The sequence below is a fragment of the Homo sapiens genome, chromosome 14 (assembly GCF_000001405.40).
Source record: "Homo sapiens chromosome 14, GRCh38.p14 Primary Assembly".
NCBI classification, from domain to species: domain Eukaryota; kingdom Metazoa; phylum Chordata; class Mammalia; order Primates; family Hominidae; genus Homo; species Homo sapiens.
The window spans coordinates 103,112,299-103,137,996 of record NC_000014.9 but is presented as its reverse complement, the minus strand read 5'-3'; the positions used below and the strand labels follow the sequence as shown (position 1 = coordinate 103,137,996).

General features: G+C 58.9%; 1 protein-coding gene and 1 long non-coding RNA gene across 8 annotated transcripts, besides 9 other annotated features; one reads left to right on the top strand and one right to left on the bottom strand.

Annotated features, from left to right (window-relative positions):
* Positions 1 to 557: 557 nt before the first annotated feature.
* On the bottom strand, positions 558 to 16,528 carry TNFAIP2 (TNF alpha induced protein 2). Of its 7 annotated transcripts, XM_047431737.1 has the most exons (15): positions 16,398 to 16,528; positions 14,514 to 14,560; positions 13,491 to 13,622; positions 11,305 to 11,687; positions 10,368 to 10,992; positions 8,143 to 8,257; positions 7,873 to 7,995; positions 7,582 to 7,682; positions 6,847 to 6,945; positions 6,235 to 6,358; positions 5,125 to 5,247; positions 4,480 to 4,635; positions 4,194 to 4,315; positions 2,646 to 2,778; positions 558 to 2,188 (listed from the first exon to the last, which is right to left on the bottom strand). In XM_047431737.1, the coding sequence occupies exons 4-15, from the start codon at positions 11,537 to 11,539 to the stop codon at positions 1,994 to 1,996; spliced, it is 2,151 nt and encodes a 716-aa protein (XP_047287693.1). In that variant the 5' UTR covers positions 11,540 to 11,687; positions 13,491 to 13,622; positions 14,514 to 14,560; positions 16,398 to 16,528; the 3' UTR covers positions 558 to 1,993. The 7 variants fall into 7 exon arrangements, with proteins under 7 accessions (XP_047287693.1, XP_011535415.1, XP_047287692.1 ...); XM_011537113.3 differs by lacking the exon at positions 13,491 to 13,622; XM_047431736.1 differs by lacking the exon at positions 13,491 to 13,622 and having other exon boundaries at positions 16,498 to 16,528.
* Positions 2,184 to 2,685: an enhancer, noted in NCBI's record as "H3K4me1 hESC enhancer chr14:103601649-103602150 (GRCh37/hg19 assembly coordinates)". NCBI's record gives its function as "activates a minimal SCP1, AML or CMV promoter by ChIP-STARR-seq in naive H9 embryonic stem cells {active_cell/tissue: H9 hESC(naive)}" and the evidence as "EXISTENCE:reporter gene assay evidence [ECO:0000049][PMID:30033119]".
* Positions 4,589 to 5,157: an enhancer, noted in NCBI's record as "H3K4me1 hESC enhancer chr14:103599177-103599745 (GRCh37/hg19 assembly coordinates)". NCBI's record gives its function as "activates a minimal SCP1, AML or CMV promoter by ChIP-STARR-seq in primed H9 embryonic stem cells {active_cell/tissue: H9 hESC(primed)}" and the evidence as "EXISTENCE:reporter gene assay evidence [ECO:0000049][PMID:30033119]".
* Positions 5,158 to 5,728: an enhancer, noted in NCBI's record as "H3K4me1 hESC enhancer chr14:103598606-103599176 (GRCh37/hg19 assembly coordinates)". NCBI's record gives its function as "activates a minimal SCP1, AML or CMV promoter by ChIP-STARR-seq in primed H9 embryonic stem cells {active_cell/tissue: H9 hESC(primed)}" and the evidence as "EXISTENCE:reporter gene assay evidence [ECO:0000049][PMID:30033119]".
* Positions 9,022 to 9,787: an enhancer, noted in NCBI's record as "H3K4me1 hESC enhancer chr14:103594547-103595312 (GRCh37/hg19 assembly coordinates)". NCBI's record gives its function as "activates a minimal SCP1, AML or CMV promoter by ChIP-STARR-seq in naive H9 embryonic stem cells {active_cell/tissue: H9 hESC(naive)}" and the evidence as "EXISTENCE:reporter gene assay evidence [ECO:0000049][PMID:30033119]".
* Positions 14,245 to 14,294: a silencer, noted in NCBI's record as "silent region_6146". NCBI's record gives its function as "represses an Ori minimal core promoter by ATAC-STARR-seq in GM12878 lymphoblastoid cells {active_cell/tissue: GM12878}" and the evidence as "EXISTENCE:reporter gene assay evidence [ECO:0000049][PMID:35858748]".
* Positions 14,539 to 15,072: an enhancer, noted in NCBI's record as "H3K27ac-H3K4me1 hESC enhancer chr14:103589262-103589795 (GRCh37/hg19 assembly coordinates)". NCBI's record gives its function as "activates a minimal SCP1, AML or CMV promoter by ChIP-STARR-seq in primed H9 embryonic stem cells {active_cell/tissue: H9 hESC(primed)}" and the evidence as "EXISTENCE:reporter gene assay evidence [ECO:0000049][PMID:30033119]".
* Positions 14,595 to 14,874: a silencer, noted in NCBI's record as "silent region_6145". NCBI's record gives its function as "represses an Ori minimal core promoter by ATAC-STARR-seq in GM12878 lymphoblastoid cells {active_cell/tissue: GM12878}" and the evidence as "EXISTENCE:reporter gene assay evidence [ECO:0000049][PMID:35858748]".
* Positions 15,073 to 15,605: an enhancer, noted in NCBI's record as "H3K27ac-H3K4me1 hESC enhancer chr14:103588729-103589261 (GRCh37/hg19 assembly coordinates)". NCBI's record gives its function as "activates a minimal SCP1, AML or CMV promoter by ChIP-STARR-seq in primed H9 embryonic stem cells {active_cell/tissue: H9 hESC(primed)}" and the evidence as "EXISTENCE:reporter gene assay evidence [ECO:0000049][PMID:30033119]".
* Positions 15,088 to 17,148, top strand: LINC00677 (long intergenic non-protein coding RNA 677). The gene is made up of 2 exons (NR_138038.1): positions 15,088 to 15,388; positions 16,966 to 17,148. It is a non-coding gene; the product is annotated as a long intergenic non-protein coding RNA 677 (long non-coding RNA).
* Positions 24,657 to 24,706: an enhancer, noted in NCBI's record as "active region_9096". NCBI's record gives its function as "activates an Ori minimal core promoter by ATAC-STARR-seq in GM12878 lymphoblastoid cells {active_cell/tissue: GM12878}" and the evidence as "EXISTENCE:reporter gene assay evidence [ECO:0000049][PMID:35858748]".

Genomic DNA, 25,698 nt, shown 5'->3' with positions numbered 1-25,698 from the left:
TTCATCAAGGTACCCTTCTTCCCTTCCAGGGACTCTGCTCCTTCCCAAATTCCAGGCCAGATTGGCTGCGGAGAGGCCCACCCTTCCGTGGCAGCTGAGCCCGTCTCTGAATACAAACCAGACCTCCTGTGTCCACAGCTGTAGCTTTCAGGTCAATGCCAGCATGGTAAGAGTCAGTTCCCACTCTGTGTCCCGTGCATGCGGTTGAAATGGCTGCCCCGTGTCCACCCCACCCTCTTCCTCAGTAAAGGACGGTGGAGGAAGCCCCAAAGGGTCACAGTCCCCTTTTTACAGATGAGGAAACTGAGGCACGGAAGGGTGAAGTGACTGTCCATGCCCTACAGGCAGACACTTCCAAAGCTCCTGCTCACAGTGAGGGGATGGTGGGCCATCTCCTGCCTGGACCACATGAGGTGCTCTGGGGGCTGGGACAGGCTGGGGATTGACACAGAACCTAGGTAGGTTTGCCCGGACCCCTAGAGGCTCAGAAAGCTGCTAAGGCTGCCTGGCTGGGCCCCCCATCATTGTGCAGCTCCCAAAATAAATCACTCCACAGCCACTTTTGAATTCTGTTTTATATCAAGCTATAAAAACCTGGATCCTGTTCAACATACATACAAAAGCAGTACTCTAAAAAATAATTATTATTATATTAACAATATCAAACACGCTAACTCCTACACACGTACAAAGACCTTGGGCATCCTTTATACCGGCCACTTCCTGGCCACAGCTTTGTAAGGCAGTACCTGGGAAAAGGGGACGGACCCAAGAGAGCCGGCCCCAAATCCTGACTCAGCACTGCAGAGGCATCAGCCGGGCTGAGTCATGCCTGAGTCCGAAGGGCCCCCTCTCAGGCTGAGAAGGAACTTTCAGGCCCAGGGAGGAGCAGAGCCTTAGGGGGAGCACATGCCGAGCAGGAAAACGAGCTCACATTTTCCTGGGGTAGAGCGAGGTGCCCGGCAGGGCAGGGGATGAACGGAGGGTGCGGTGGGCAGAATAACGGCCTCCCAAAGATGTCCACGTGACAGTCCCCAGAGCCTGTGACTATGTTAGGTTACACAGCCAGTGGGAACTAAAGTTGCAGATGGAACTAAGGTGGCTAATCAGCTGACCTGAAAATAGAAAGACGACCTGGGTTCTCTGGGTAGGCGCAATGTGATCATAAGCGTCCTTAAAAGCGGTAGAGCAGGCCGGGTACAGTGACTCATGCCTATAATCCCAGCACTTTAGGAGGCTAAGGCTACAAGATCCCTTGAGCCCAGGAGTTCCAGACAAGCCTAGGCAACAGAATGAGACCCTGTATCCACAAAAAATATGTAGCTGGGCGTGGGGGATTGTCTCAGGGGACTGAGACAAGAGGATCACTTGAACCAGGAGGTCCAGGCTGCAGTGAGCCTTGATGCCATGACCAGGCCACTGCACTCCAGCCTGGGCAACACAGCAAGACCCTGTCTCAAAAAAAAAAAAAAAAAAGTGGTGGAGGGAGGCAGGAGAGGGGAGGCCTCAATGAGGTGACGGGAAAAAGATTCAACTACCCACAGCTGGCTCTGAAGATGGAGGAGCCTGAAGTCAAGAATTACGGTCAGCCTCTAAAAATGAAAAGGCCAGAAATGAATTCTCCCCTAGAGCCTCCAGAAGGAGTGCAGGACTGCCGACACCCAGATTTGAGCCCCGGGTCAGCCTTCTGACCCGCAGAACTGGAAGACCTCGTTTTGATCCACGAAGTTTGTGGAAACCTGTCACGGCAATAGGAAACAAATACAGAGGCCAAAGGGTCAACAGTGAGAGGTCAAGCTTGCCCTGCCCCTGCCCAGACCTCAGCCAGACTTCTGGGTGGCAGGGCCCACGGTGGCACCCCCAGGGCCTGTCCCTGCCTTGGGGAAGGGGGAGCCTGAGAGGACCCAGGAGGTCTTGGGCCCTTCGGTAGTAGACACCAAGCCCTCGGGGGACCACCCTCTAGTTGAGGCCTTGGGGGATGAAGAGGGAGGGCTCAGGGCCCCATTGCAGGGCCAGCCTGTAGGGGCCGTGGGGCCACCTGGATGTGACGTCTAATGCTGGCGGTGCTCACAGCTCGCCACAGGACCCTAAAAGCCCCTGCCAGACGAGAGCTCATCTTTTCCTTCTTTCTCTTCCAGTTCTGTCTTCCATTCCACCATTGCTGAATCCCGCTCACGGCGGCCCTGGGCTGCAGAGGGCAGATGGGTGAGGCTCGGCCCCTGTCTCCAGAGAGCTGAAGAGGGCCCTCGGCCCCACCCACGAGGAGGACAGTCATGAGGCCGACTGTGGAGGGGCTCTGGACAGAGGTGTCCGGGGATCCCTGAGCCTGGCTGCACTCTCCCTCCTGGTTCTTTCCTTGCGTGCACACGATCAGCTATCGTTTACAAAGAGTCCTTGGTGTTGCCTGGTTGGCTGCCCAGGATGGGAGCTCCTGCCCCCATCGGACATGTAAACAAACCAAGGTCTGTCCAGTTCCAGCTGACAGGGCCTGCACCTCCGCCAGGGCTAGGCAGAAGTAGCATCAGAGCACAGGAGACCCGGGAGGAACCGAGAACCAGCGCTGCTCTTAACAGCTCCCAGCGGGGTGTGCCCAAGGCTTGCTGGGCACTCACAGGCAGGTCAGGCCACAGGAAAAGCTAACCAACCTTTATAAGGGAAAATAGGGGCCGGGAGGGCTCCTGCGCCCCCATGCTGACGTCCAAGATGCTCCGGATGCGCTTGACCTCACTGTTGGATAGGTTCCCCTTGATGGCCAGGATAGCGCTCAGGTGGCCTTTGCTGGCAAAGAGAGCATCCTGTCAGCCCAGCCTGTCACCCACACCCCTACTCACCAGCTCCCTGCACTCCCGGCCAGTGCCACAGGGCCCGACAGCCAACGCCCGGCCCACGAGGGGGCTGCACTTCACTCTCCCTCACCCATGCCCTCCACCTGATGGTCCCAAGAGCAGCCATGCCCCAGCCTGCTTCAGGCCTCCGCACCGGCTGTTCCCCTGCAATGTTCTTCCCAGGCCCTGAGATGACCGCCTCTTCCCACCCCTTAGGTCTCCGCTAAGATGTCCACCCCCAAAAGGCTTTCTTGTCTCTAAAGTCGGCACCTCCTATCATTCACAACCTTGGTTAAACCCTATTTACAACTTGTAATTGTCTGTTTCTTTGCCTGATTATGTCATTAGTATTGCTGGCCCTCAACAGAATGAGCTACTTAAGGGAGGACTGAGACCTGGCTTCCCTTGTACTTCATTGCATCCTGGTAACTAGAACAGAGGCTGACACCTAGCAGACTTCTCCATAATTGTTGGTGGCATAGGTAGATGGATGGTGGGTGGGTGAGCAGATGGATGAGAGCTAGATGGGTGGAGGGATGGGAGCATGGATGAGTGAGTAGATGCATGGGTGGATGGGTGGGTGGGTGAGTGGTTGAGTGGATGGATAGCTAAATGGGTGGAGGGGTGGATGGATGAGTAGATGGGTGGATGGGTGCTTACATGGGTAGGTGGATGAATAGATGGATGGATAGACGGGTGGGTGGGTGGGTGGGTGGATGGGTAGACAGGTGATGAGTGGGTGAGAAGATAGACGGATAGCCAGATGGGTGAAGGAATGGGTGGATGAGCAGATGGGTGCTTGTATGGTGGGTGAATGAATGAATGGGTGGAATGGATCAGACAGGGACTGGACTTGGCGAAGCTGGGGTCAACCCTGTCAAGACCCATTCAAACTTACCCTAACATGTCAGAGGACCCAGCCCAGGAAGAAACAATGTCCCTGGCCCACCAGAACTTCAGGCAGCCAAGGGCTAAGCCTCCACTCCCGAATATGAGCCCTGGTCCCAGAGCATAGGCCTAGGCCGCAGAGGCCCCCCAGGCTGGGTGAAGCTGGCCTCTCTGGTCTCAGTCTCCCCTGTGAGAGGCAGTGTCAGGTAAAGCTAAGAGTGTGGGCCATGCAGCCAGACACTAACTAGCCGTGTCACCTTGGACACATCCTGTGAGCTCTCCAGGCCTCCTCTGTGAAACGGGAATGGGAAGTATTGTCCTCGTAGTGCTGTGGTGAAGGCCACAAGAATGAGCCCCTGGTGAGGTTCACACAGTGACTGGCACGTGGGCAGCTGCCAGGATCTGGGTTCCCAATGCCAGCCCTGTGAGGCCTTGGCCACAGTGATGTGACAGTGGTCCTGAGGTGCCCCAGGTTCTCACCTGAAGTCAGGGTAGCAGGTGGCATAAGTGGCCACCTCAATCTTGATGGCACTGGGGTCCTGCAGGCGAATGATCTCGGCCAGCGTAGGGAGAGCAGGCTGCAGCCAGGTCGCCGGGGAGCCCTGCAGGAGTGGGTGTGGTTGGAGGGACCCAGGGGTCCAGAGGCTCGGGTCAGCGACTCGTTGGGCTTAGAGAGGCACCAGCGGCCTATCTCCGACCCTGAAAGGGCTAGGGGAGAAGAGGCAGCCATTTCAGAGGGGCTTGGGAGAGGTGGGCAGCGGCTTACGTGCTGGGTGCAGAAGTGCTGGATGGTGTCAGCATTGGCCAGGATGTACCCAGCCAGCTGCTGCTGCTGCTCGGCCGTCTTGAGGACCAGGCGCCCCTTGCTGAGTTGGATGATGTACTCCTTCACCAGGTGCAGGTGCAAGGCCTCCATGAGCTCCTGGGAGGGCAAGCAGCCAGGGGCGTGTGAGCTGTCTGCTGATGGGGAGCTCGCCACCTCCCTTGAAGCCTTGTAGCCAGGCCTCCAGAGAGAGGCAGATGCCAGAGCAAAAGACTGCACACGTGCTCGTGCGTCCACATGTGTGCGTTCACATGCTCATGCGTTCACATGCGTGTGTGTTCACATGTGCATGCGTTCACGTGTTCACATGTGTGTGTTTACATGCTCGTGCCTTCACGTGTGTTCATATGTGTGCATGTGTTCACATGCTCGTGCATTCACATGTGTGTGTTCACATGCTCGTGCGTTCACATGTTCGTGCCTTCACGTGTGTTCACATGTGCACGTGTTCACATGCTCGTGCATTCACGTGTGTTCACATGTGCGCGTGTGAGCACATGTGCGTGAGTGTACACAGACGTGCTAGTGTGCGTGTCCGGGCTGCCCCCAACTCCCCAAGACCCAGCCACCAGCCCAGAGCCTCCTCACCTCCCGGAAACAGCCCTGCAGCTCTGAGAACTCAGGCAGCCTCGTGTCTACAGTGGCGATGATGTTTTCCAGGGTCTCCACAGGGGCCGCCCAGCGGGTGTGCGTGAACCTCTTGAACAGTGGCTGAGACAGGAGAGGCAGGATGTCTAGTCACGCCCTGGAGAGGAAGGGCTGCCAGCCGCAGACACGCAGACACGCAGACACAGACACACACCGACACATGTGCCTGGTGGAGGGGCGGGGGGCACTCAAGGACTCCCAGGGAACCCGGGCCAACCTCAGGTCCCTGCTCACAGACAGGAAGTGGGAGCCGGCTCTGTGCACCCTTATCCAAGGTCACCCAGTGCGGCTCAGGAGCCAGGAGAGCCTGTCTGCCGGCCCGGAGGCCAAGTCCACTGCCACTTAAATAAATAAATTCCTTCATAAACAAGACCTTGTGCTTGGCTGGGCCAGGGAGATCAGTACCAGGGGATGTGGGGTCACCGCTCGGGCTTCCACCACACTCAGGCCACCCATGGCCGCTAGTCCCTGACACCGGGAAGAGAACCTCTCCCCTTCCTTTTGAGAGACCCCCCACTTTACACCCTGCTAAAGGAACTACTTGTTTTCACAGCATTTTCTGTGGATTTCTTGGCCCATAACAGATATAACCCCAGCTGCCGATGACCCTGAGCCTCAGTTGCTGGGAGTCAGGCGCGGGGATGGGGGTGGATAGGAGGGGCTGAGGGGATTGAAGGAAAGGTGTCTGCAGGCTTGGGACTGGGCTGTGTCTGAATCGGGGAGGGGCAGTGAAACTTTTCCAGGCCCTCCCAGCCCCAGGCGGCCCCTCCCAGCCCCAGGCGGCCCCTCCCAGCCCCAGGCGGCCCCTCCCAGCCCCAGGCGGCCCCTCTCAGGTGAAACCCCAGGACATGATCGGCGGAGTTCAGAGCCTGCTAGGGTCCCCAACCGGGCATCACCGCTGCACCAGAGCTGGCCCACGGTGCCGTCCACAGGCCTGGAGCGTGTCTTCCCCACATCTTTGCTTCTGCCACTCCTCCCTGGGGGCACCTCCCAGTCCCTCCCTGGGAACCCCCCAACACTGGGCTCCTGAGGGCAAGAGGCTCCCGCTACCTTCAGGTCCTCATGCAGGTTCTGGAGCAGGGTGTCAAAGCCGTGGCTCTTGAGCTCACCCAGGGGGCCCAGCAGGAGGCTCAGGGTGTCCTGGGGTACCTGCCAATTCTGCTCCATGGACATCCTGGAAGGTGGAGGCAGAGAGGTCACCCCAGCCCTGCTCAGCCTATAGCCCCATACCCAGGGAGCCAGACAGCCCCCTCTCTTCACTCTAGAACCCTCAATGGCTCCCCATTCTCTATGGGATCAAGTCCTCCCATCCATGTTCTCCATGCCCTCAGGACACTCCTCCACTACATCCCCTTGTAACTGGGGGCAAGTGAGCCTCCTCCAGTGGTTTGCCCATCTGCCTAATAGACAGATCACTATACCTACTTCACAGGGTTGCTTTAAGGATAAGATAATGGGTGAAACATCTGCCTGTGTGCTTGCCCCAGCCAGCACTTGGGAAATGTTTGCTGCTGCTGCTGCAGGCCGTGGAGTCCTCACACATGTTGCTGGTTTGAATTCCACTTCTTGGCCTAAGCAGCTCCTCCTCCCTCCACCTTCCAGCTCCCCTCTCCTGCCCGCTGAGTGACTCCCACTCCCGCAAGCCCCTCCCAACACTCTCACCGGAAGGACAGGCAGTTGTTGATGTTGGCAATAACATTGGCCCTGTAATTCGTCAGCTGCTTGCCTCTCTCCAGAAATTCATTAAAGGCGCGCTGGTAGCTGGCGAAACCAGAAGGGGCACATTCAGGACCAGCCCAAACACTGGGACCACAGCAGCAGCCTCCCTGCCCTCCCTGCCAGCTCCTGGGGTTCACTTTTCTGTTTGGCTGCCCATAGCCAAGGGAGGGGCCGCTAGCCCCTGGGCATCATGGAACTGGCTTCACAAGCTAAGGCTTGGGCTCCTGAAGAGGGTACCAGCCCATCTCTGCTGCTCCCAGGCCCTCTCTAGAGTTGGGAGACCAGGTAGGAGTGAGCGTGTGGTTGGCTGGAGAAGCCCTCAGAGGTCGAGAGGGAGAGAGCAGAGAGAATTCAGGTGGTGGAGACTAGGAGTGTTGTATGAAGGGGTGGCGGGGTCTCAGTCCCTCCTGGGGTATCCTCTTTGAAGCTAGAGGCTGCTCTGCTGAGAGCTTTGCTGATGGGGTGGGCGCAAGAGGCTCCCACGTTGAATCCTGGTGGAGGTCAGACCACCTGAGGCTCTCAGTGCCCTGGCTGAGTGGGAAACAACTCCTGGCTCAGAATGACAGGGACAGGGGTAGAGGGCGGGGATCCAGCTCAGCTCCCCACCTGAGGCACTAGGGAGGGGCCGTGGCTCTGAGAGCGGTGGCTACAGGGACCCCATCCTGGGCACACACCCACCTCCTCAGGAACGCAGGCAGCTCCACCAGCAGCACCCGCTTTATCTGTGAGCCCAAGTCCAGCGTGATGCTCTCGGCCTTGGCCTGGGCCTGGGAGGTGATCTGCAGGGTGGTGGTGGGTGAGCTGAGCAGGGGCTCGCCTGGACAAGGGGGCAGGGGACGGGGAGGAAACAGGCGGGAACAGAGGGGGTGCCCCGAGGTGGGCATGGGTATGCACACAGGACGGAATGTGCGTGGGGCTCCCCATGCACGTGCACGGGCGGTACGTGTGCCCTGGGGCAGATTGCAGTACCTGGATGATGTCGATGGCCAGCTCGCTGTGGCAGTGGCCGTCCAGCCTCTGGGGAGGCACATCCTCAGCCCAGCGCCGTGCCTCTAGCTCCAGAGCTCGGTCCATCAACTCCCTCACATTGGCCTGGAGGAGGAGGGGCAGGTCACTGGGGCACTATCCCTCACCTCGCTCACCTGGAAGACCCGTCAAGCTCCCTGCCCATGTCCTGTCTGTCTCCGAGCCTCTCCTCTGCTGCCTCCCTGCCCCTCCCTGGCCCAGGTGGAGACTCACCGCCTCACTGGACAGGAATGTGGCCTCCAGCAGTCGGATCTGCCTGGGGGGCAGGAGGCTCCCGAGCCCCATACCCTGCAGCTCACCCACCAGCTTGGGGCTGTTGATGATGTCACTGCAGGCAGGGGAGGCTGGCATGAGGACAACTATACCAAATCAGCACCACCACTCAAGCTAGAGCCCAGGCCCTCAGCCTTGGTCTCTGGCAGGCCCAGACTGCCCAGCACACCCTCCCGCACCCCCACCCGGTCCCCATTTCAGATGATGGGTCCTCCATCTACTTAGTTTGGTTTGGAACAGAAACTCTGAAGTCATCATGCCTCCTCTGACTCTCTCACCACCCCCCCCCCATTAGGTCCTGCTCCAAAATAGCCCCCAAAATCAGCAGCCTCATGCCACTCTGGCGCCCTGGCCGGCTCCCATCAGCTCCCCGCTGGCTCACTGCAAAAGCCTCCTCCCGGCCTCTCTGCTCCTTCCCTCACCTCCAACAATTCCTTCTTCACCCAGCAGCCAGAGCCACCTTTAAGATCTGATCTTCTTCCTGCTCCAAGACTACCTGTCACCCAGATAAAACCCTGCTCCTACTCACAGCAGCCCTGGAATCCAGCCAGCTCCCAGCCCACTGCGCTCCAGCCCTGCAGGTCTTGGGCATCTCACCAGCCCCGGCCACCTCCCAATCCCAGGGGTAGGCCAGAATGGGCAGGAAGGGCTGCCCCAAACTGCTCCACAGACGCATCTTGGCTCACTGTCCTGGCGCCTCTGCAGCGCCCCAGAGCTCCCAGGGGACTGCCCAGCCCTGGCACTTCCTAAGGGCCCTTTGTCTGCCTAGAGGTTTACAAATGACCTTCTCTCTGCCCCTCACCCAATCCAGATGCAGCTGTGTCCCTCCGTTCCCCACATTTCTGGCACACAGGCTTCAACGATGCCCCCCTGGGCACCCTCTCACCAGGGCTCCATGCCCAGCTTGGCTTTAGTTGCCTGTTGCTAACCCCAGGCCAGCAGACCCCGAGGTCACTGGGACAGAAAGACTGGCAGGCAGGGGTGCAGGTGCCCGGCATTTCCTGGTGAGTCAGGACGAGCAAGCGGGAACTGGCTCTGGGCTGGGTTATCTCTCCCGTGGCCCCTGCCCTGTGCCAGTTCCCCTATGCCCTGCTGACTCCTCTCCCACCCTCTCCACTGGACCCTTTCTCTATCCTTCTGCCAGAGGCTGACCCTTCAACACGAACTGAGCCCACAGGCCACCCAAGGCCCCCGAGACGGCAGACACTGCCCACACTGTCTATACCTCCAGGCTTCCTTCCTAAAGTTTCACACTAGGATCTGGGGCCAGCAGTGGCCAAGCCCCACAATAACAGCCCCTGGACTCCCCCGCCCTGGGCCTTTCCACACTGCAGTAAGCCTCTCTCCATGCAGACCGTGCGAATGACGGGCACGCCCAGGGATCTATGGAGTCAAGGGACGCCTGAGGCTGTACTCAGCAGGGGTACCAGCTGCACAGCCAGCCTCCCACCTGAGGGGCTCCAGCTCTGCGGCGGGCTCACAGGGTAACCCTACACAATGGGGGTCTAACAAGACACGTGGCCCTAGCCCATCACTTGGAACTCTCCTGCCTGGGGGTGCCCGCATAGCTCTGCTCAGCTCCAGAGTGCCCTGGAAGAGGACATGCTCAGGAGCACCGACCTTCCTCTCACCTTCTCCCCTACCTGCCCTATCACCCCTCCTCCTGCCTCCTGGCCTGATTCCCTGGCTCAGAGAAGGACCGCTGGCTTTCACCTCCTCCAGGCTGGCTTCCCTGACTTCTCCAGGCCTGCTTTGGGCCCATGCTCTGCACGGGGCCTGGCCTCTGCTGCCACAGCCCTTCCAGCTCTGGATGGTTATTGATTGCTTTGCCCCCTCCTCAGACTGGGCGCTCGTGAATGAAATCCCTACCATTTTCTGTGCCTCAGTTTCCCCAACAGCAGAATGTGACTGAGGCCCAGGAAATTAAGGATTCCAAGAGCAACGCAGACCCAGCCCCAGCCTTATCCCTGTGTCCAGGCCCAGTCTCTGCCTGTCCAGGCTCTGCCCCAGGGAGTCCAAGTCCCACCCCTGCATTCTCGGACCCAAAACTCTGCAAACACCGACCTCACTAAAAGCTGCCGGCGGCACACCTCGACACCCCTCGACACCCCTCCTACAGAGGACACCCTCCCTGCCGGCCCGGGCCCAGCCCCTGGTCTGCTCACTTGGGGTAGAGGTTCTGCACCCAGAGCAGCAGCATGTAGGTGTCGCGCTCGCACAGCTCGAACTGCGCCACGGCGGCCAGGTGGGCCGCGAAGTGCTGGTGGTAGCTCTCGGCGTAGGCCGCCACGACGCCGAACTCGGCGGGGAACAGCGGCTTCAGCCGCTCCACCACGGCCTCCAGGTCCTCCTTCATGGTGCGGCCCAAGTGCAGAAAGACGCTCTCGGGGACCTCGGCGCCCGCGGCCGGCCGCTGGCCCATGCGCTCCTCGGCCGCCTCCGCCACGCCGCGCCGCCACAGCTGCAGCCAGCGCCGCGGGCGCGTGGCCGCCAGCCCCGAGGTCCCCGGCCCCGCCGCCGCCGCCTGGCGGTCCTCGCGCTCCTGCTCCGCCACCACGGCCAGCGCCTGGCGCAGCCGCTCGGGCGGCGCCTCCAGCGGCCGCCGCAGCACGCCCAGCACCTGGTCGCGCAGCAGCTCGTACAGCGCCTCCACCTTGCTCTGGCGCCGCACCAGCTCCTCCTCGCTCACACCGCCCGCCGCCGCCGCCGCCGCCAGCTCCCGCTCCAGCGCCAGCAGCGGCCGCGCCGCCTCCAGCTGCCCGCGCTCCAGCGCCGCCTTCAGCTCCTCCACTGCGCCGGGAAAGCCGCGTCAGCCCCGGCCCCAGCCCACCGCCCACCGGGCGGGGCGGCCAGCGCCAAGCGGGACCGTCCTCCCCTAGACGCGCACAGGGCCGGCGGCCAACACCCTAAAGGGTGATGTCGGTGTCCCTGACTAGGCTGAAGGCCTCCCAGCCCCCCAGATTGCGGCACAGGTGAAAGCAGGGAGACAGACGCGCCTTCCAGCCCCACTTGCCGGCCCACTGTGCAAGTGGCTCACTCACGCGGATGAGCGCCAACCCCGTCCAGGCCCCAGACTAGCTCTAACCCAGGGTCCTAGAGCACCTGTGGGGGGCGGGCCATCCAGCCCCTGCCTGGACCCGGCTGCGTCCTCGGGCTCCGCTGAGCTGGGCTGACCCTTCTTCTTCTTCCCTTTGGTGAAGACGCAGAACACATTGGCCAGGCCTTTGGACTTCTTCTTCTTCTCCTTCTTCTTCTTCGCCGCCTCTTCCTCCTCCCTATATGGGGCTGCCCCAGCCTCCAGGGGTGGCACCAGGTCCTCAGAGGAGGCCTCCGACATGGAGGCCTCTGACTCTGCCTCTGATGTGGACTGCAACTTTTGGGGGCCTCTAGGCAAGTCGAGGGTGCCTGGCACAGGCTGATGGCTCTAGAGGCCTTGGAAGAAGGTCATCATCTTCAGCATCACCCTGGTTCAGGCCTGCAGGCTCCTGCGGGGTGGGGGTGAAGGCATCAGTGGTCACCATGGACCGGCCCTGGCTCCCAGGCTGGACACACAGCTATGCTGGCTGCATTGAGTACACTCAGTCTGTTTCACCCATTCAGCCACCGGGGCTCTGCTCATCTCCTGGCCCAGATGAGCACCAACAACTGTGCTTCCTCCCTGGCCACGAGCATCTCACCATCTACAGCTCCCCTTCCAATACTTCACAGCCCCAGAAGCAAGGAAGAGGCTGGGGACGCCAAGCCCGCCACACAGAGGGGGACTTTCACTTTACTTGGGCAAATCCTTCCCTGCCAGCCCACCCTCTGGGCAGGAAGCAGGCAATGGACACCTCCCTGGATCCCACGGGACCCTAGGGAAGAGGCGGGGCATGGGCTCTGTCCCTTTGGACAGAGCAGGAACAGAGGTCCAGAAAGGTCTGGGACATGCCGGGGTCTAGAACACCAGAACCGGCCTGAGACTGGAACCCAGCCTCCTCCTGCCCAGACCCAGCCCCTCTGCCATCTTGTCCAGTTCTGATCCAGCGGTGGGGTCACAGAAACACAGCTGCTCCAGCTGGGCCATGAAAGGGGCAGAGCCTGACCAGGATCTACAGAAGCCACAGTGGGTGGGACCTCAGACAGCCTTTCACACATCACTGGGGCAAGGGGCTCAGCAAGTCACAGGGCGGCCTGAAGTCACACAGCAACTCGGGTCCAGAACCCAGGCTTCCTGGCTCCCACCCCCTCCCAAATGGGATCGTAGCATCATCACAAAGGCTTCCAGTTTCTGCAGCCTTCCTGGGTGCCCATCCCATCTCTTCCTTTCTCTCATCTGGAAGGGTGTTATTTCGGCTTAAACTGTCCCTATAGTCAATAGCTTGGGCTTGGAACTCAGGCCACCCGGTCCCAGAGCCCAGCTTTCCCCTGCCTCCACATCCCCAGCTATCCTGCAAGCTACATCCAGAGAGGCAAGACCCGAGCTTCCCCAGAGTCCCTGCCCAGCACCTGACCATTGTCAGAGCAAGGCCAGGTCCACTGGAGAAGAGCATGGCTGATCTGAAAGGGGGAAGCAGGCAGGGGCTGGGCCTCCCCAAGAACTGGGGTGACCTGTAACCTTGATGCCACCTGTCTGCCCCACCCCAAGACTAAATGCATGCAGCCTTGTCTCATGTATCATGGTAACTTCAAGTGACCCCTGAAACAGCCCTGCAAGGCAGGCAGGATGATCCACCATCCAGAAGGAGAAACTGAGGCTGAGTAGGAGGTGTTTGCCCCAAGCACAGCAGCCATGGAGGCTCAGACTGGGCCCATCCGACTCTTCCCATGGCCCCGCTGCCTCCACCAGCCCCACTACCCTGTCCCCATCCTGGAGGGGCTTGGCCAGAGCCACCTGAGGGACAGGAAGCCTGGGCTCCTCCCACCCCCAGCCCCTGCCATGCTCACCCAGTGCCCTGGGCAGAGTCCCACACTCCTGGATGGCACTGGCCTCCCTAGTGCCATTTGGGTTGAGCATTCCACTCCAGGACCAAGAGGGGCATGCTCCAGGGAGCCCCAGGGGCAAGGCCATGGGGCACCTCTGCTCCCCACCCGGTGCCCCAACTTCGCTTCCCAGCCCCTCTCAGGTGCATGCCTAGCACCCGCGGGAGCTGGTCTGTCTGGCAGGGCCACTCAGCCCCACCCTGGGTGCCCAGGCCCCACCTCTGCCATTCTCCTGGGGTGGGGGAGGGTGGCCCTTACCAGCAATGCTCCCTGCCAGCCTCACCTCAGCCTTCCCTGTCCCACCCCACATGTACTAGGCTCTGTCCCACCTCCAGGCACAGCTCCCGCAGGACCCCCACAGCATCACCGCCTTCTCCCCTCTGTGACACGAAACCCAGAGCGCCTGAAGGTCCTGCTGCAGCCCCCTGGGCCTCGCCCCAGGTCTCCGCTCTCCGAGGCAGCTGGTGCCATGGAAAGAGAAACGCTTTCGGTGTGGGCTCAGCACACTTCTCACTAGTGTGTGGACTGCACACCTCCTTCCTTCACAAGCCGCCGTTTCCCCGTCTTTGAAAAGGGGATGAGGACCCCCACCCCACAGTGCTGCTGAGGGGATGTGGCCAAACCGCACAGCCAAGTGCTGGGCGCCTAGCTGGGCCTCAGTGGGGGTGAGTCTCCTGTGTCCTGAGTCTGTCCTGCAGGCAGCAGCGAGCCGGTGCAGCCAGAAAGGAAGAAGGGGAGGAGGGGCGTTCCTTTGAGCCTTGCCGCTGGTTGGGCCCACTGAGGCAGGAAGGGGCCTGCTGGGAGGCTCGTAGAGGGGTCACAGCCAGTGGCTCAACAGCGCCCCCCAGCCTCCTGCTGCCCGGCCTCTCCTCAGGTCCACTGACCTGGCTCGCCTTCCCCGTCAGGGCTGATGTCCACACACCTCCCGGGAGCTCGCTGGGCCCGGCTCCTTCAGTCCTGGGCAGGATGTGGAAGGCGCACCCATCCCCCGATGAGGACACCCGGGCACGGGCGAGGAAGTGACTCGGCCTGTGTCGCCCGGCCGGGGAGTCACGCCGGACCTGGGGCCTTTCTGCTGTAATGGAGGGGAGACCCCTGCGCCTGCCCCAGCCCCGCCCTCCCTGCCTCTGGCAGGCCCGGGCCCTCAGCCAGCCTTGGCCCCTCTGCGCCCGGACGCGCGGACGCTGGGCGCGCCAGGGCCTCAGTTTCCCTGGAAGCGTCCAGCCCCCTCCTGTCCCCGCCGCGGCGACAGGCTCTTTCCTCGGGGAATCCGGCCTGGCCTCGGGGTAGGGGCGGGCGAGAAGCCGCGCGGAGCGGCGGGGAATGGACGTGTGGAAGCGGAGGTCACTTACCGTGTCCCGGCCTGGCCGCCACTGTCCTGGCCCGGGTTCCGCAAGGCCTGAAATAGTCGCAGAGTCAGCCCCGCCCCGCCCGCCCCTCCTTCCCCGCCCCGCCGCAACCGCGGAAAACCCGCGGGCGGAGGCCAAGGCCCAGCGCGGCCCGGCTGTGTCCCTGCGTCCCAGGGGCTGGGCGCGCCCGGCCTGCCCAGCGGGGGATGCGGGGCGCTGTCACTTCCTCCCAGCAGCCGGGCAGGGGCGGGGGGCTGGCCGCGCGTCGCATGGTATGTGGAGTTCGGGGGACGGCACGGGGACGACGGGGTTGTCAGGCGCGGAGCCATTGTCCGACGACGGCTCCTGATAGGCCGCCTGGATGGGGCGCGCTTGGCCGCGTTCCCGCGTCACACACCGGCTCCAGCTGCGGGAGAGCCCGTCCCACCCCAACTCCCCAGCCGCCCCTCTGAAGTGTTCCGGTGTCACCGTGGCCACAAGGAGGCAGGGGACGGGGGCTTCCTGAAGGAGGCCCCCTAAGGGGAAGGGGGCTACAAGGCTGGCCAGAGTGCTGGCCGCGCGGCTGTGCACAGGGCCTTGAGCCCCTCCGGTCGTCAAGCCTTGCTTGAAATGCGTAAATGCGGAAAGGTGAAGTGGCTGACCCGGCTCACACCACTTTAAGTAGCGGAGTGGGGTTCCTAGCCAGGCCTATGGGACTCCCACTGGAGCCTTTCCCCCTCTGGGGCTGGGGCTGGACCCACAGGCTGCCGGAGCAGGCAGAAGGGGAGGGGCCCAAGGCCCAGACTCCAGGGCCTCGTCTGGATCATCAACCCGGCTTTGCCCATTCAGCGCAGGCCTCCGTTTCCAGGCCTGTCTCCCCATCCACACCGTCTCTCAGGGTTTGTTTTGGGAGATGTGGGGGTGGGGCATGTGGGGAGGATGGAAAGGGGCTGTGAAGGGAACCCACTGGAGATTCACTTCCTTCCTTATTTCACACTCTAGGCTAGGAATTCCTGCCCTCTGGAAAGGACCCAGACATTTAGGAATTTCCCGCTGGGCAGGGGCTTCCCTCCTGCCTCACTGGGGCCTCTGCTCCTCCCCTCTTTTGTTTGGCCTCTTTCCCCGCCCCCTGATCACTCCGCCACCCCTTCTGCAGCCTAGTAACAGGTCTTCCAGGACCAGGGGGGCCAGCGGAGTGGGGGCGGCTGTGGGTTCAGGTGCCCTGGGAACTGAGAACTTCCTCTTCCAGAGTGCTGGCCAAGCGCCAGGTTTGCACTCGGATTGCCATCCATCATCCTGTCTCTGGGGAACCTGTGGGGGAGCGGATGCGGGAGGCCGCCAGGATGCAGGATGGGGCGTTAAGGCTGCCAACCCCACCCCTTCTCTCCTAGGACTCCAGGGATGACATTTTTCAGATGAGTCCACAGAGCCGCGGTGTCCCGGGGCTGGGAGGGTCCTTCCACCGGCACCGCGCAGATGGAGTTCATCCACACAGGGGCGATGAGGATACGGGCTGAGGGGCCCTGGCCGGTGGCTGCCTTCACGGCTGGCTGCTGTGGCCTCATTGTGCAATCCCCACAAGCCTCTCCTGCCAGACTCTGTTCCCCCACCCCACCCCCTCACCCCCCCTCCCATTCCCAAGCAGATCGGGAAATTGCTCGGGAAGTCTGCATCTGCCAGGAGGGCGTTGTCAGGCCTTAGGCCCCACTGTCCCCTCGAAGGCAGCCCCTGGTCTCCACGGGCTTTGCAGGGCTGAGGCGGGGCTGCCACCCTTGTCCCCCACTGACGGCAGTGGCCCGCCCAGAGCACCGGCTGGGGATTGGGAAACGAGGCTGCTGCCTTGGACTTGTGTCTGCACCAGTCACTTCCCCTCTCTAAGCTCAGGCATGAGGGTCAATGGTAACATACGTGAAGTCCTCAAGACAAGGAAAGTCTTCTGAAAATGGGGCAGCATGGAGGCCCAAGGGATGACAGCCAATGGGGCCCATAGGGCAGGAGCAGTCCTTACCCTCTTCTCGCAGATGCAGAAAGCAGTTCCCAAGAGGCCAGGCACTTCCAGAGGAGCCAAAGGCCAGCCTACGGCTCCTCCCCAGCAGGAAGCCAGCATCACATGCTGGGTGGCGATGTTTGTGACCAGTGGCCAGCGGCTGTCCCATTCCCCAGCTCCCCAGGGCACAGGCCAGGGGCAGTGAGCAGGGGGCTCTGCCTGGTGGGGAGGGCAGCAGACAGGAGCAGACTGGCAATGACCTCTCCATTTAGCCTAGAAGGCGAGTGTGCCAGCACCTGGCCAGGAGCCACGGTCAGCTCCTCGCACGCAACCCAGGGCCTCAGAGGCTACGACACATGGGATGTTCCCTCCCTTCTGTCTGCCAGAGCAATGACAGCTGACTGTTTAAAAATTATTATGGTACAATATACATAATGCAATTTATAATCTTTTAAGTGCACAGTTCAGTGGCATTAAGTATATTCACAGGGTCGTGCAACCAACAGCACCCTCCACCTGCAGAAATCGTCACCTGGCAAAACGGAAACTCTACCCACTATGCACTAACTCCTCTTTCCCTCTCCTCCGGGCCCTGGCAACCGCCATTCTACCTTTCGTCTCTGTGGTCTTGACTATTCTATGTACTGCAAATAAATAGAGTCACACAGCGTTTATCCTTTTGTGTCTGCATCTGCCAGGAGGGCGTTGTCAGGTTTATTTCACTCAGCATAATGCCTTCAAGATTCATTCATGTGGTAGCAGGTATCAGAATTCCCTTCCTTTTTGAGGCTGAATCATATTCCATTGTATGGATGGGCTACACTGTGCATTCATTCATCTCTCTGTGCACACTGGGATTGCTGCTACCTCTTGGCTGCTGTGTACAGTGCTGCTATAAAACATGGGTGTGTATACCAGGTGTGGTGGCTCATGCCTGTAATCCCAGCACTTTGGGAGGCCCAGGCGGGTGGATCGCTTGAGCTCTGGAACTCAAGATCAACCTGGGCAACATAGTGAGACCCTGTCTCCACCAAAAATACAAACAATTAGCCAGGTGTGATGGGGTGCACCTGTAGCCCCAGCTACTTGGGAGGCTGAGGTGGGAGAACCACCTGAGCCTGGCAGGTTAAGGCTGCAGTGAGCCATGATTGCACCACTGCACTCCAGCCTGGGCAACAGAGTAAGACCCTGTCTCACAACAAAAACAAACAAACAAAAGAACACGGGTATGCAAATATCTGTTCACGTTCCTGCTTTCAATTCTTTTGGGTAGACTGCTGATGTTTGTTGATCTCCACCGGTGCCAGGCGTTGTTCTAAGTGTTTTGTATACATTAGCCGATTTCATCGGACAGCCTAATGAAGTGGGCACTAACTCTCTTCTTTTCACAGATGAGGAAACTGAGGCACAGAGCGGTCCAGTCATGTGCCAGCCAGTGGTGAAGCTAGGAGCCCCTTCACTAAGCACAGTGTTATCTTGCTTCTCCTCCAACGTTGCTCAGCGTCTGAAATTCAGCTTGATGTATTTAAGTCAGACACAAGAAAGGACTTCTAGACCAAGGAGTTTAGATGCAGAAATGGGAGGTACTATCCTTCACTCCTTTTTCACCTTGAAAAAAATTTTTCCCAATCTTTTTCATTACCTCATTTAGTCCATTAATTAAACCTCCACCTGCGCCCTGTAGGGCAGCAGAAAAGGCCGATTCAGCACGGACCAGAGAATAACACAGGGAGGCACATTACTGGCCCTCTCTCTGCATTCTTGAAGGCACCTAGAGGAAAGCTCTCTAGAAGAGGGGCAGTTGGGGCTGGGCATGGTGGCTCACCCCTGTAATCCCAGCATTTTGGGAGGCCAAGGCGGGCGGATCACCTGAGGTCGGGAGTTCGAGGCCAGCCTGACCAACATGGAGAAATCCCGTCTCTACTAAAAATACAAAATACAAAATACTAAAAATACAAAATTAGCCAGGTGTGGTGGTGCATGCCTGTAATCTCAGCTACTCGGGAGCCTGAGGCAGGAGAATCACTTGAACCTGGGAGGCAGAGGTTGCGGTAAGCTGAGATCACGCCATTGCACTCCAGCCTGGGCAACAAGAGTGAAACTCCATCTCAAAAAAAAAAAAAAAAAAAAAAAAGGAAGAAGAGGGCAGTCGAAGGCAGAAGGGAGAGCAACCTGGAGCAGGGCCCAGGGTGGTGGGTGATCACGAGGGGCAGAGGGCCTATAGGTGGCTGGGCCTGGCCAGAGGCGTGGCTGCAGCTGCTAGCCTTGGTCACAAGAGTGGTGCTGACCTCAGGGTGGGTCACCTAGCCCCTCCCCCAGCAGCCCGGGCCCACTTCCCTCTGCATGATGACTTGCACTTCCCACTGCCCTAACCCTGGTTCCCAGGACCCCAACACTCACCCTGCTTCTCCCTTTCACTTCTCAGGCTGTCACCAGCCCTGAGACTCTTCCTGGGGATGCCCTACTGTCTGCATGGGGTGGGGCCATTGTGTTCCCTGTTGACAGATGAGGAAACTGAGTCTCAGAGAAGCAGGCACAGAGGTTGAGGCCTTAAGCCTGAGGTCCCTGCTGCCACCCAGCCTTCCCCAAGAGGAGCAGTGACTTGCTCAGCATCACCTACAGCTCCATGAGACCCTGGCTGAAGTCTGCTGACCTCCTCCGGGACTGTGGGATGGCCAGGACAGCTGACCAGGAGCCACTTTCACGGCACATCCCCTCCTGCAAAGGAGGGAGCATGAGGACCCTCAGCAGCCCAGACATGTACCATCAGGCGGTGCCCCACCCCAGCCCCACGGGACACTGTCGATTTGTTGATAGCCCCCCTGCCCCTTTCCTCCTAGGAGGAAGCCAGGCCAAGGATTCCTTTTCGTATTTGGCAGATGGAGAAACCGAGGCCTGATGAGGTATGGCTTCTGCAGCTATTCCATGAGCCTGACCCACTGTCCTTGCTGGAGAAGGGCCATGGGAGAGAAAGCAGGGCCTATGGGGCAGCAGGACCCCAACCCCAGTGGCCTTCCAAATAGTGTGGTGTAGGAGGGCTTCCTGGAGGAGTGGGTCCTGGTGGAACTCATGGGCATAGGAAGTTCTCTATGCCAGCTGCAAGCGGCCACTCTCCTCCCCAAGTTCAGCTCTCCTAAAACTCTAGTCTTTCACCACAGCTCTCTGGTACTGATGCAAAATGCCTAAGTGCAGCTCCGGTCCCTTCTGCCTGGGGTTCCTGTAGAACATGGGCCCTTCTCGGAGCCGGCATAATTTCCAGGAAAACAGCTGCAGAGCTACGGCCTATGCAGGGTTCTGCCAATGACAGAGGCCAGTCACGTGGCAGGACCTCTCTTGGGAAGCCCAGTGCTGCTTCATGGGGCTGTTTGGAGAAGGAAGTCGGGGAGGAGAGGGGAGGGAAGGGGAAGGAAGAGGAGGGGAGGGGAGGGGAGGGAAGAGGAGGGGAGGGGAGGGGAGGGAAGAGGAGGGGAGGGGAGGTGTTACCGGGAGAGACTATATCCAAGTCATGAAGCACTGAAGTATGTTAGCAGGAGCAAATCCATCCAGGTCTGCAGCAACCTCAGTTCTTACCTCCTCAGAAAAGAGAATTCAACTGAGAAGTCTAAGGCAAAGTGAGAGACTGCAACAAGTTTGAAAGCAGGAGTGAAAGTTTATTTAAAAGCTTTAGAGAAAGAGCCTGGGCAACATGGCAAAACCCTGTCTCTACCAAATAATAAAAATAATAACACAAAAATTAGCCAGCGTGGTGGTGGGCACCTGTGGTCCCAACTACTCAGGAGGCTGAGGTGAGAGGATCACTTGAACCCGGGAAGTGGAGGTTGCAGTGAGCCCAGATCATGTGGCTGCACTCCAGCCTGGGCAACAGAGCAAGACCCTATCTCAAAAAAAAAAAAAAAAAAAAAAAAAAAGGCTGGGATCGTGGGATCGCTGGCTCACACCTGTAATCCCAGCACTTTTGGAGGCCAAGGCGGGCGGATCACCTGAGGTCAGGAGTTCGAAATCAGCCTGGCCAACATGGTGAAACCCTGTCTCTACTAAAAATAAAAAATGAGCCGGGTATGGTCCCAGCTACTTGGGAGGCTGAGGCAGGAGAATGGCTTGAACCCGGGAGGCAGAGGTTGCAGTGAGCCAAAATTGCGCCACTGCACTCCAGCCTGGGCGACAGAGTGAGACTGTCTCAAAAAAAAAAGAAAAAGAAAAAAGTGGCCGGGCGTGGCGGCTCACGCCTGTAATCCCAGCATTTTGGGAGGCCAAGGCAGGCGGATCACCTGAGGTCAGGAGTTCGAAATCAGCCTGGCCAACATGGTGAAACCCTGTCTCTACTAAATATACAAAATTAGCCAGGTGTGGTCCCAGCTACTTGTGAGGCTGAGGCAGGAGAATCGCTTGAACCCGGGAGGCGGAGGTTGCAGTGAGCCAAGATGGCACCACTGCACTCCAGCCTGGGTGACAGAGTAAGACTCTGTCTCAAAAAAAAAAGAAAAAAAAAAAAAGTTTTAGGGCAGGAATGAAAGGAAGGAAAGTACACCTGGAAGGCCAAGCGGGTGACTTGAGGGATTCTAGTGTGTGGTTTGACCTTTGACTTGGGGTTTTATACGTTGACATGCTTCCACTTCCGGCGGGGGGCCATTGCATTCTTTCTGAGGATTCTTCCCTTGGGCTGGGCTGTCCGCACGCGCCGCCATGGCCTGCCATGCCAGCACCTGGGAGGGGCCGCATGCGCGGTGTGTTTACTGAAGTGGTGCACATGCTCATGTGAGGCGCTCTTCCCTTACCCGTCGAGGGTTTCCCGAGGAAGGTCATACATGAGTTAAGCTCTGCCATTTTGCCTCTTAGTGCTTATGCTTGAGCCCACTCACCCGACTCCTGAGATCTTATCGGGAAGTTGCTGATCACTAGTACTAGGTGCTTCTATGTAAGAGAAACACCTATGTTGGGAAACTGCCTTTCCCTGGTGCTGGCTGCGACCAATTATTATTTTAGAGAGACAGTGTAACAACTGCCTATCACCTGATGGTTGCGTGACATTCCTAGGTGCTCTCCTGCCCTGCTCACGTCTGTCTACTGTAACAGAGGCTGCTCAAAAACCACGCAGGCCCTGTGACTGCCTCCAGCCCAGGTTCTGGGAGCCCCCTCCTTGCCGGACAGCCAGGAGCTCTGACTTCCAGACTTTGGAGAAGGAGGGCATCCCACTGTGGGCTGAGGCGTGGAGACCACCTGGGCCCTGGTACTCCACTGCTTAGAGCTGTGTCTTTCCATACATTGCTTGGGACAGTGACATTTCCTTGGGACCTCCTGGAGATGGCACTGGCACACTCAGAGGGTTGGCAGGGATGGCTTAAAGGAGGTAGTGCAGATAAATAACAACGAATGCCACAGGTAGGAGGATGCTCTTGGAGAGCCAGGCCCTCCTCCAGCCAACTCTTGCATTTTCTTGTGTAATCCTCCCCAGTTTACACAGGGAGATGGAACCCAGAGAGGTGGAGTGACTCACACAGGTCACACAGCTAGGAAGGCGCAGAGCTAGGATTCCAGCCCAGAGGTGTCTGAGTCCAGAAGCTGATTCGAAATGCCAGCCCTGAGTCCAGGGAAAGCAGGAACATCATACACCACCAGAGTAAAGCACATGGTGGGCGCCCCACAAACAGCAGAGCTTCTCATGATGAGGCAGGAGAATAGGAGGCAGGGAACCTAAGGCTGTTTCGTTCCTACTTCCTAGAACTATATTGAAAGGAAAACCCACACAAAAAAATTAACTGGGCGTGGTGGCGGGCACCTGTAATCCCAGCTGCTAGGGAGGCTGGAGTGCAATGGTGCTGTCTCGGTTCACTGCAACCTCCGCCTCCCGGGTTCAAGCAATTCTCCTGCCTCAGTTTCCTGAATAGCTGAGATTACAGGTGTCCACCACCATGCCCAGTTAATTTTTTTGTATTTTTAGTAGAGACGGTTTCACCATGTTGGCCAGGCTGGTCTTGAACTCCTGACCTCAAGTGATCTGCCTGCCTTGGCCTCCCAAACTGCTGGGATCACAGGTGTGAGCCACCGCGCCCGGCCTCACCCTAGCCTCTGACTGGTTGCTTTTTGCAACCAATCAGATGTTTGCACAGGAGTGTGACCTTTGTAACTTCACTTCAGCCTCTGGTTGGCTGCTTTCCGCAACCAATCAGGTTGATTGCAGGCCACCACTTCATTTACATGAGGTGAGCATGAAGTGGCCAACGGGAAACTTCTAGGGGATATTTGGACCCAAGAAGATTCTGTATCTGGGCTGTTGAGCTGCTGCTCGGGCCACTCCCACACTGTGGAGTGTACTTTCATTTTCAGTAAATCCCTGCTTTCGTTCTTTCGTTGCTTCATTCTTTCTTTGCTTTGCTGGGCATTTTGTCCAATTCTTTGTTCAAAACGCCAAGAACATGGACAACTTGCAGTCACGACCCTCTACTGGTGACTTTTGTTTTCCCCAAGATTCTAAGAGCCCATTATTTGAGGATTCTATCCGTCTAAGAGCCTTGAGTTCCTCATTTGATGTTTATAGGGATCAAGAACGACTGCCCAGGCCAGGCACAGTGGCTCACACCTGTAACCCCAGCACTTTGGGAGGTTGAGGCAGGAGGATCATTTGAAGTCAGGAGTTTGAGACCAGCCTGACCAACATGGTGAAACCCTGTCTCTACTAAAAATACAAAAAATTAGCTGGGCAAGGTGGTGGGTGCCTATAATCCCAGCTACTTGGGAGGCTGAGGCAGCAGAATCGCTCGAACCTGGGAGGTGGAGGTTGTGATGAGCTGAGATCACTCCACTGCACTGCAGCCTGGGTGACACAGTAAGACTTCATCTCAAAAAAAAAAAAAAAAAAGAAAAGAAAAAAAGAAACGACTGCCCTATCCTGTCAACCACCTCCAGCAAAAACAGGTTCCTCACCAATGCCCAGAATGTCACCATTCATATAAATCCCTTGGGCAAGAATCCCTTTTTAACAACTCAAGTGTCCCGCAAGGAACCTCGGTCACTTCTGGGAATGGGAGCAGGAAGACTAGAGATAAGAAGGGGACTTTTTACCCTATACCCTTTGCGTATCTTTTAAATTTTGACCTATGTGAACGTATTGCTACCCAACACATTATTAAGCATTTAACACATTTTTAAGGCTGCTAATAGATGGGTGGGCATATGTGCAGACAGAAGTGAGGGTGTCCCTGGAGAGGCCCAGGCCCCCAGGGCCCAGGAGAGGATGGACCGAGGGGTGGGTGTGACTTGTCCAAGTTTCACTCCCCTCCAAGTGTTTCCCAAGACCAGGGTCCCAGGAGGCCAGGCTGAGATTTGGGTGGCTCCCAGCAGGATCTGATCCTGTGACCTGGGGCACTGTGGACCCCGCCCTCTGCAGCGGCAGTCTTGTTGCAGCACAGTGGCCGGCAGGTGCCCACTGACCAGCCTTCCACAGGGAAGGGGGGGGACGGGCAGTGTTGTGGGGCAGCCCACTCCTGGCCACCCCCCTGGGCCTCATGATGGCCTGTGAGTTGCATGCGCCGACGGCGGCCCTGGGGCTTCTTTGCGGTGGCAAAGGAAGGAAGTTTGGGGACGGGGGTAGCCTTGGGGACCCTGCAGCCTCCTCTCCCAATGTGGGCAGCAGTGAGGGGTCCTGCAGTAACCTTCCAGCCGCTGGGGATGCTGCCCCCACGCATAGGGGCCCACTGGGTACTGAAGCCAGGAAGGGAGGGGCTGGGGTCACCAGGCGAGGAAGGAAGAGGGCACGCTGTGCAGGCCTGGAGGGGACACACGGACCGTCACTCACAGCACACCCTCTTGTCAGGAACGCTGTGAACAGGTTCACTGGCTCCCTACTGGGCACTCCCTCCCATGTTACCAACAAGAAAACTGGGTCCCCCGCTAGAAGGGGCAGAGCTGAGACTGGAACACATGCCTGCATGGCTCAGCCTCGTGTGTCTCCCACATGACACACTCAAGCAGGGGCCAGGCCCAGACACCAGGAGGGAGAGATGGCCTCGGAGGGCTGCTGGGCCCCAGCCTGAGCTGGGGGAGGCAGCTCCCCAGTCTCCTCTCACCCCACACACGCTGTCGCTGGGCCAGCAGGTGTGTGTGTGTGCACACACACACACATACACACACACATATACACACACACATACACACACACACACACACACACACATACATACATATATACACACACACACACAGTGGATCATCTCTGCAGACCAGAGTGTGCGGGTCTGGGGCATGTGGGTTCTCTGTGGTTTCTCTCTGCCCTCCCAGTTGGGCCTGGGGTGGGGCCCCAGAAGATTCACAGAGCAGACCCAGTCTCAAGGACCTCAAGCTCAGGGACAGAGACCAGAGGGAACCCCAGGACATGCAGGAGCCCCAGGCCACGGTGGCACTGGGGGAAGCCCAGCTGGCCCTGAAGAGGGAGGAGACCTGGGCCATGCAGCAGGGAACAGGCACTGGCCAAGGCTGCGGGCCAGGGGCCGGCAGGCAGGGCCTGGGGGCTGAGCTTGGGGGCAAGTAGGATGGTTCCAGGCTGTCCTGCTTTCTGAGAGGAGTGAGGAGACTAGGCAAGGGCCTCCATCCTGGGGGTGCTGACAGGGGCTGGTGCACATAGGTACACGTGCACAGACACACACACACACACACACACACTTATCAGCCAGGTGACCTGGCCAATGAGAACCCAAGTACCTCTCTGAGAGCCAGCCCCACCCCCACCGGCACCCTGCAGGCTTGGCCTGGACAACAGATGGCCAAGGAAGCACTGCAGGCTCATTGCAAGGTCTCATGGGCTCAGCCTCCACCCCTTAGAGCAGAAAGGCCAGTGGCCAGACCCCAGGACTGAGGCACCCAGGGTGCCCCGGTCTCAGCCCCGCCTCTGCCCCCAGCCTCCCTGACTGCATCCTCTAGGAGCTGCCATCCCACCCCCAGCTCGGCCTGGCTTGGCCTGGGAAGTCCCAGCCCCAGCCACCGCTGGGTTCAGGAGGATCTGCACACATGGCATACACACCCTCCTGGCATGGAGATACAGGTGCACATGTGCACACAGTTCCTGCCAGGAAAACCCTGACTTCCTGTCTCCGGGCCTAGGAACCCTCAGGGTCTAAGCCGGGCCCCCTCCCTCTGCCACAAGCCGCTCAGCCTTCAGCACCTCTTCCCAGCCTCTCTTGGGGCCTCCCACTCCCAGTGACCTCCACTCAACTCAGGTTTTGCTCCAGC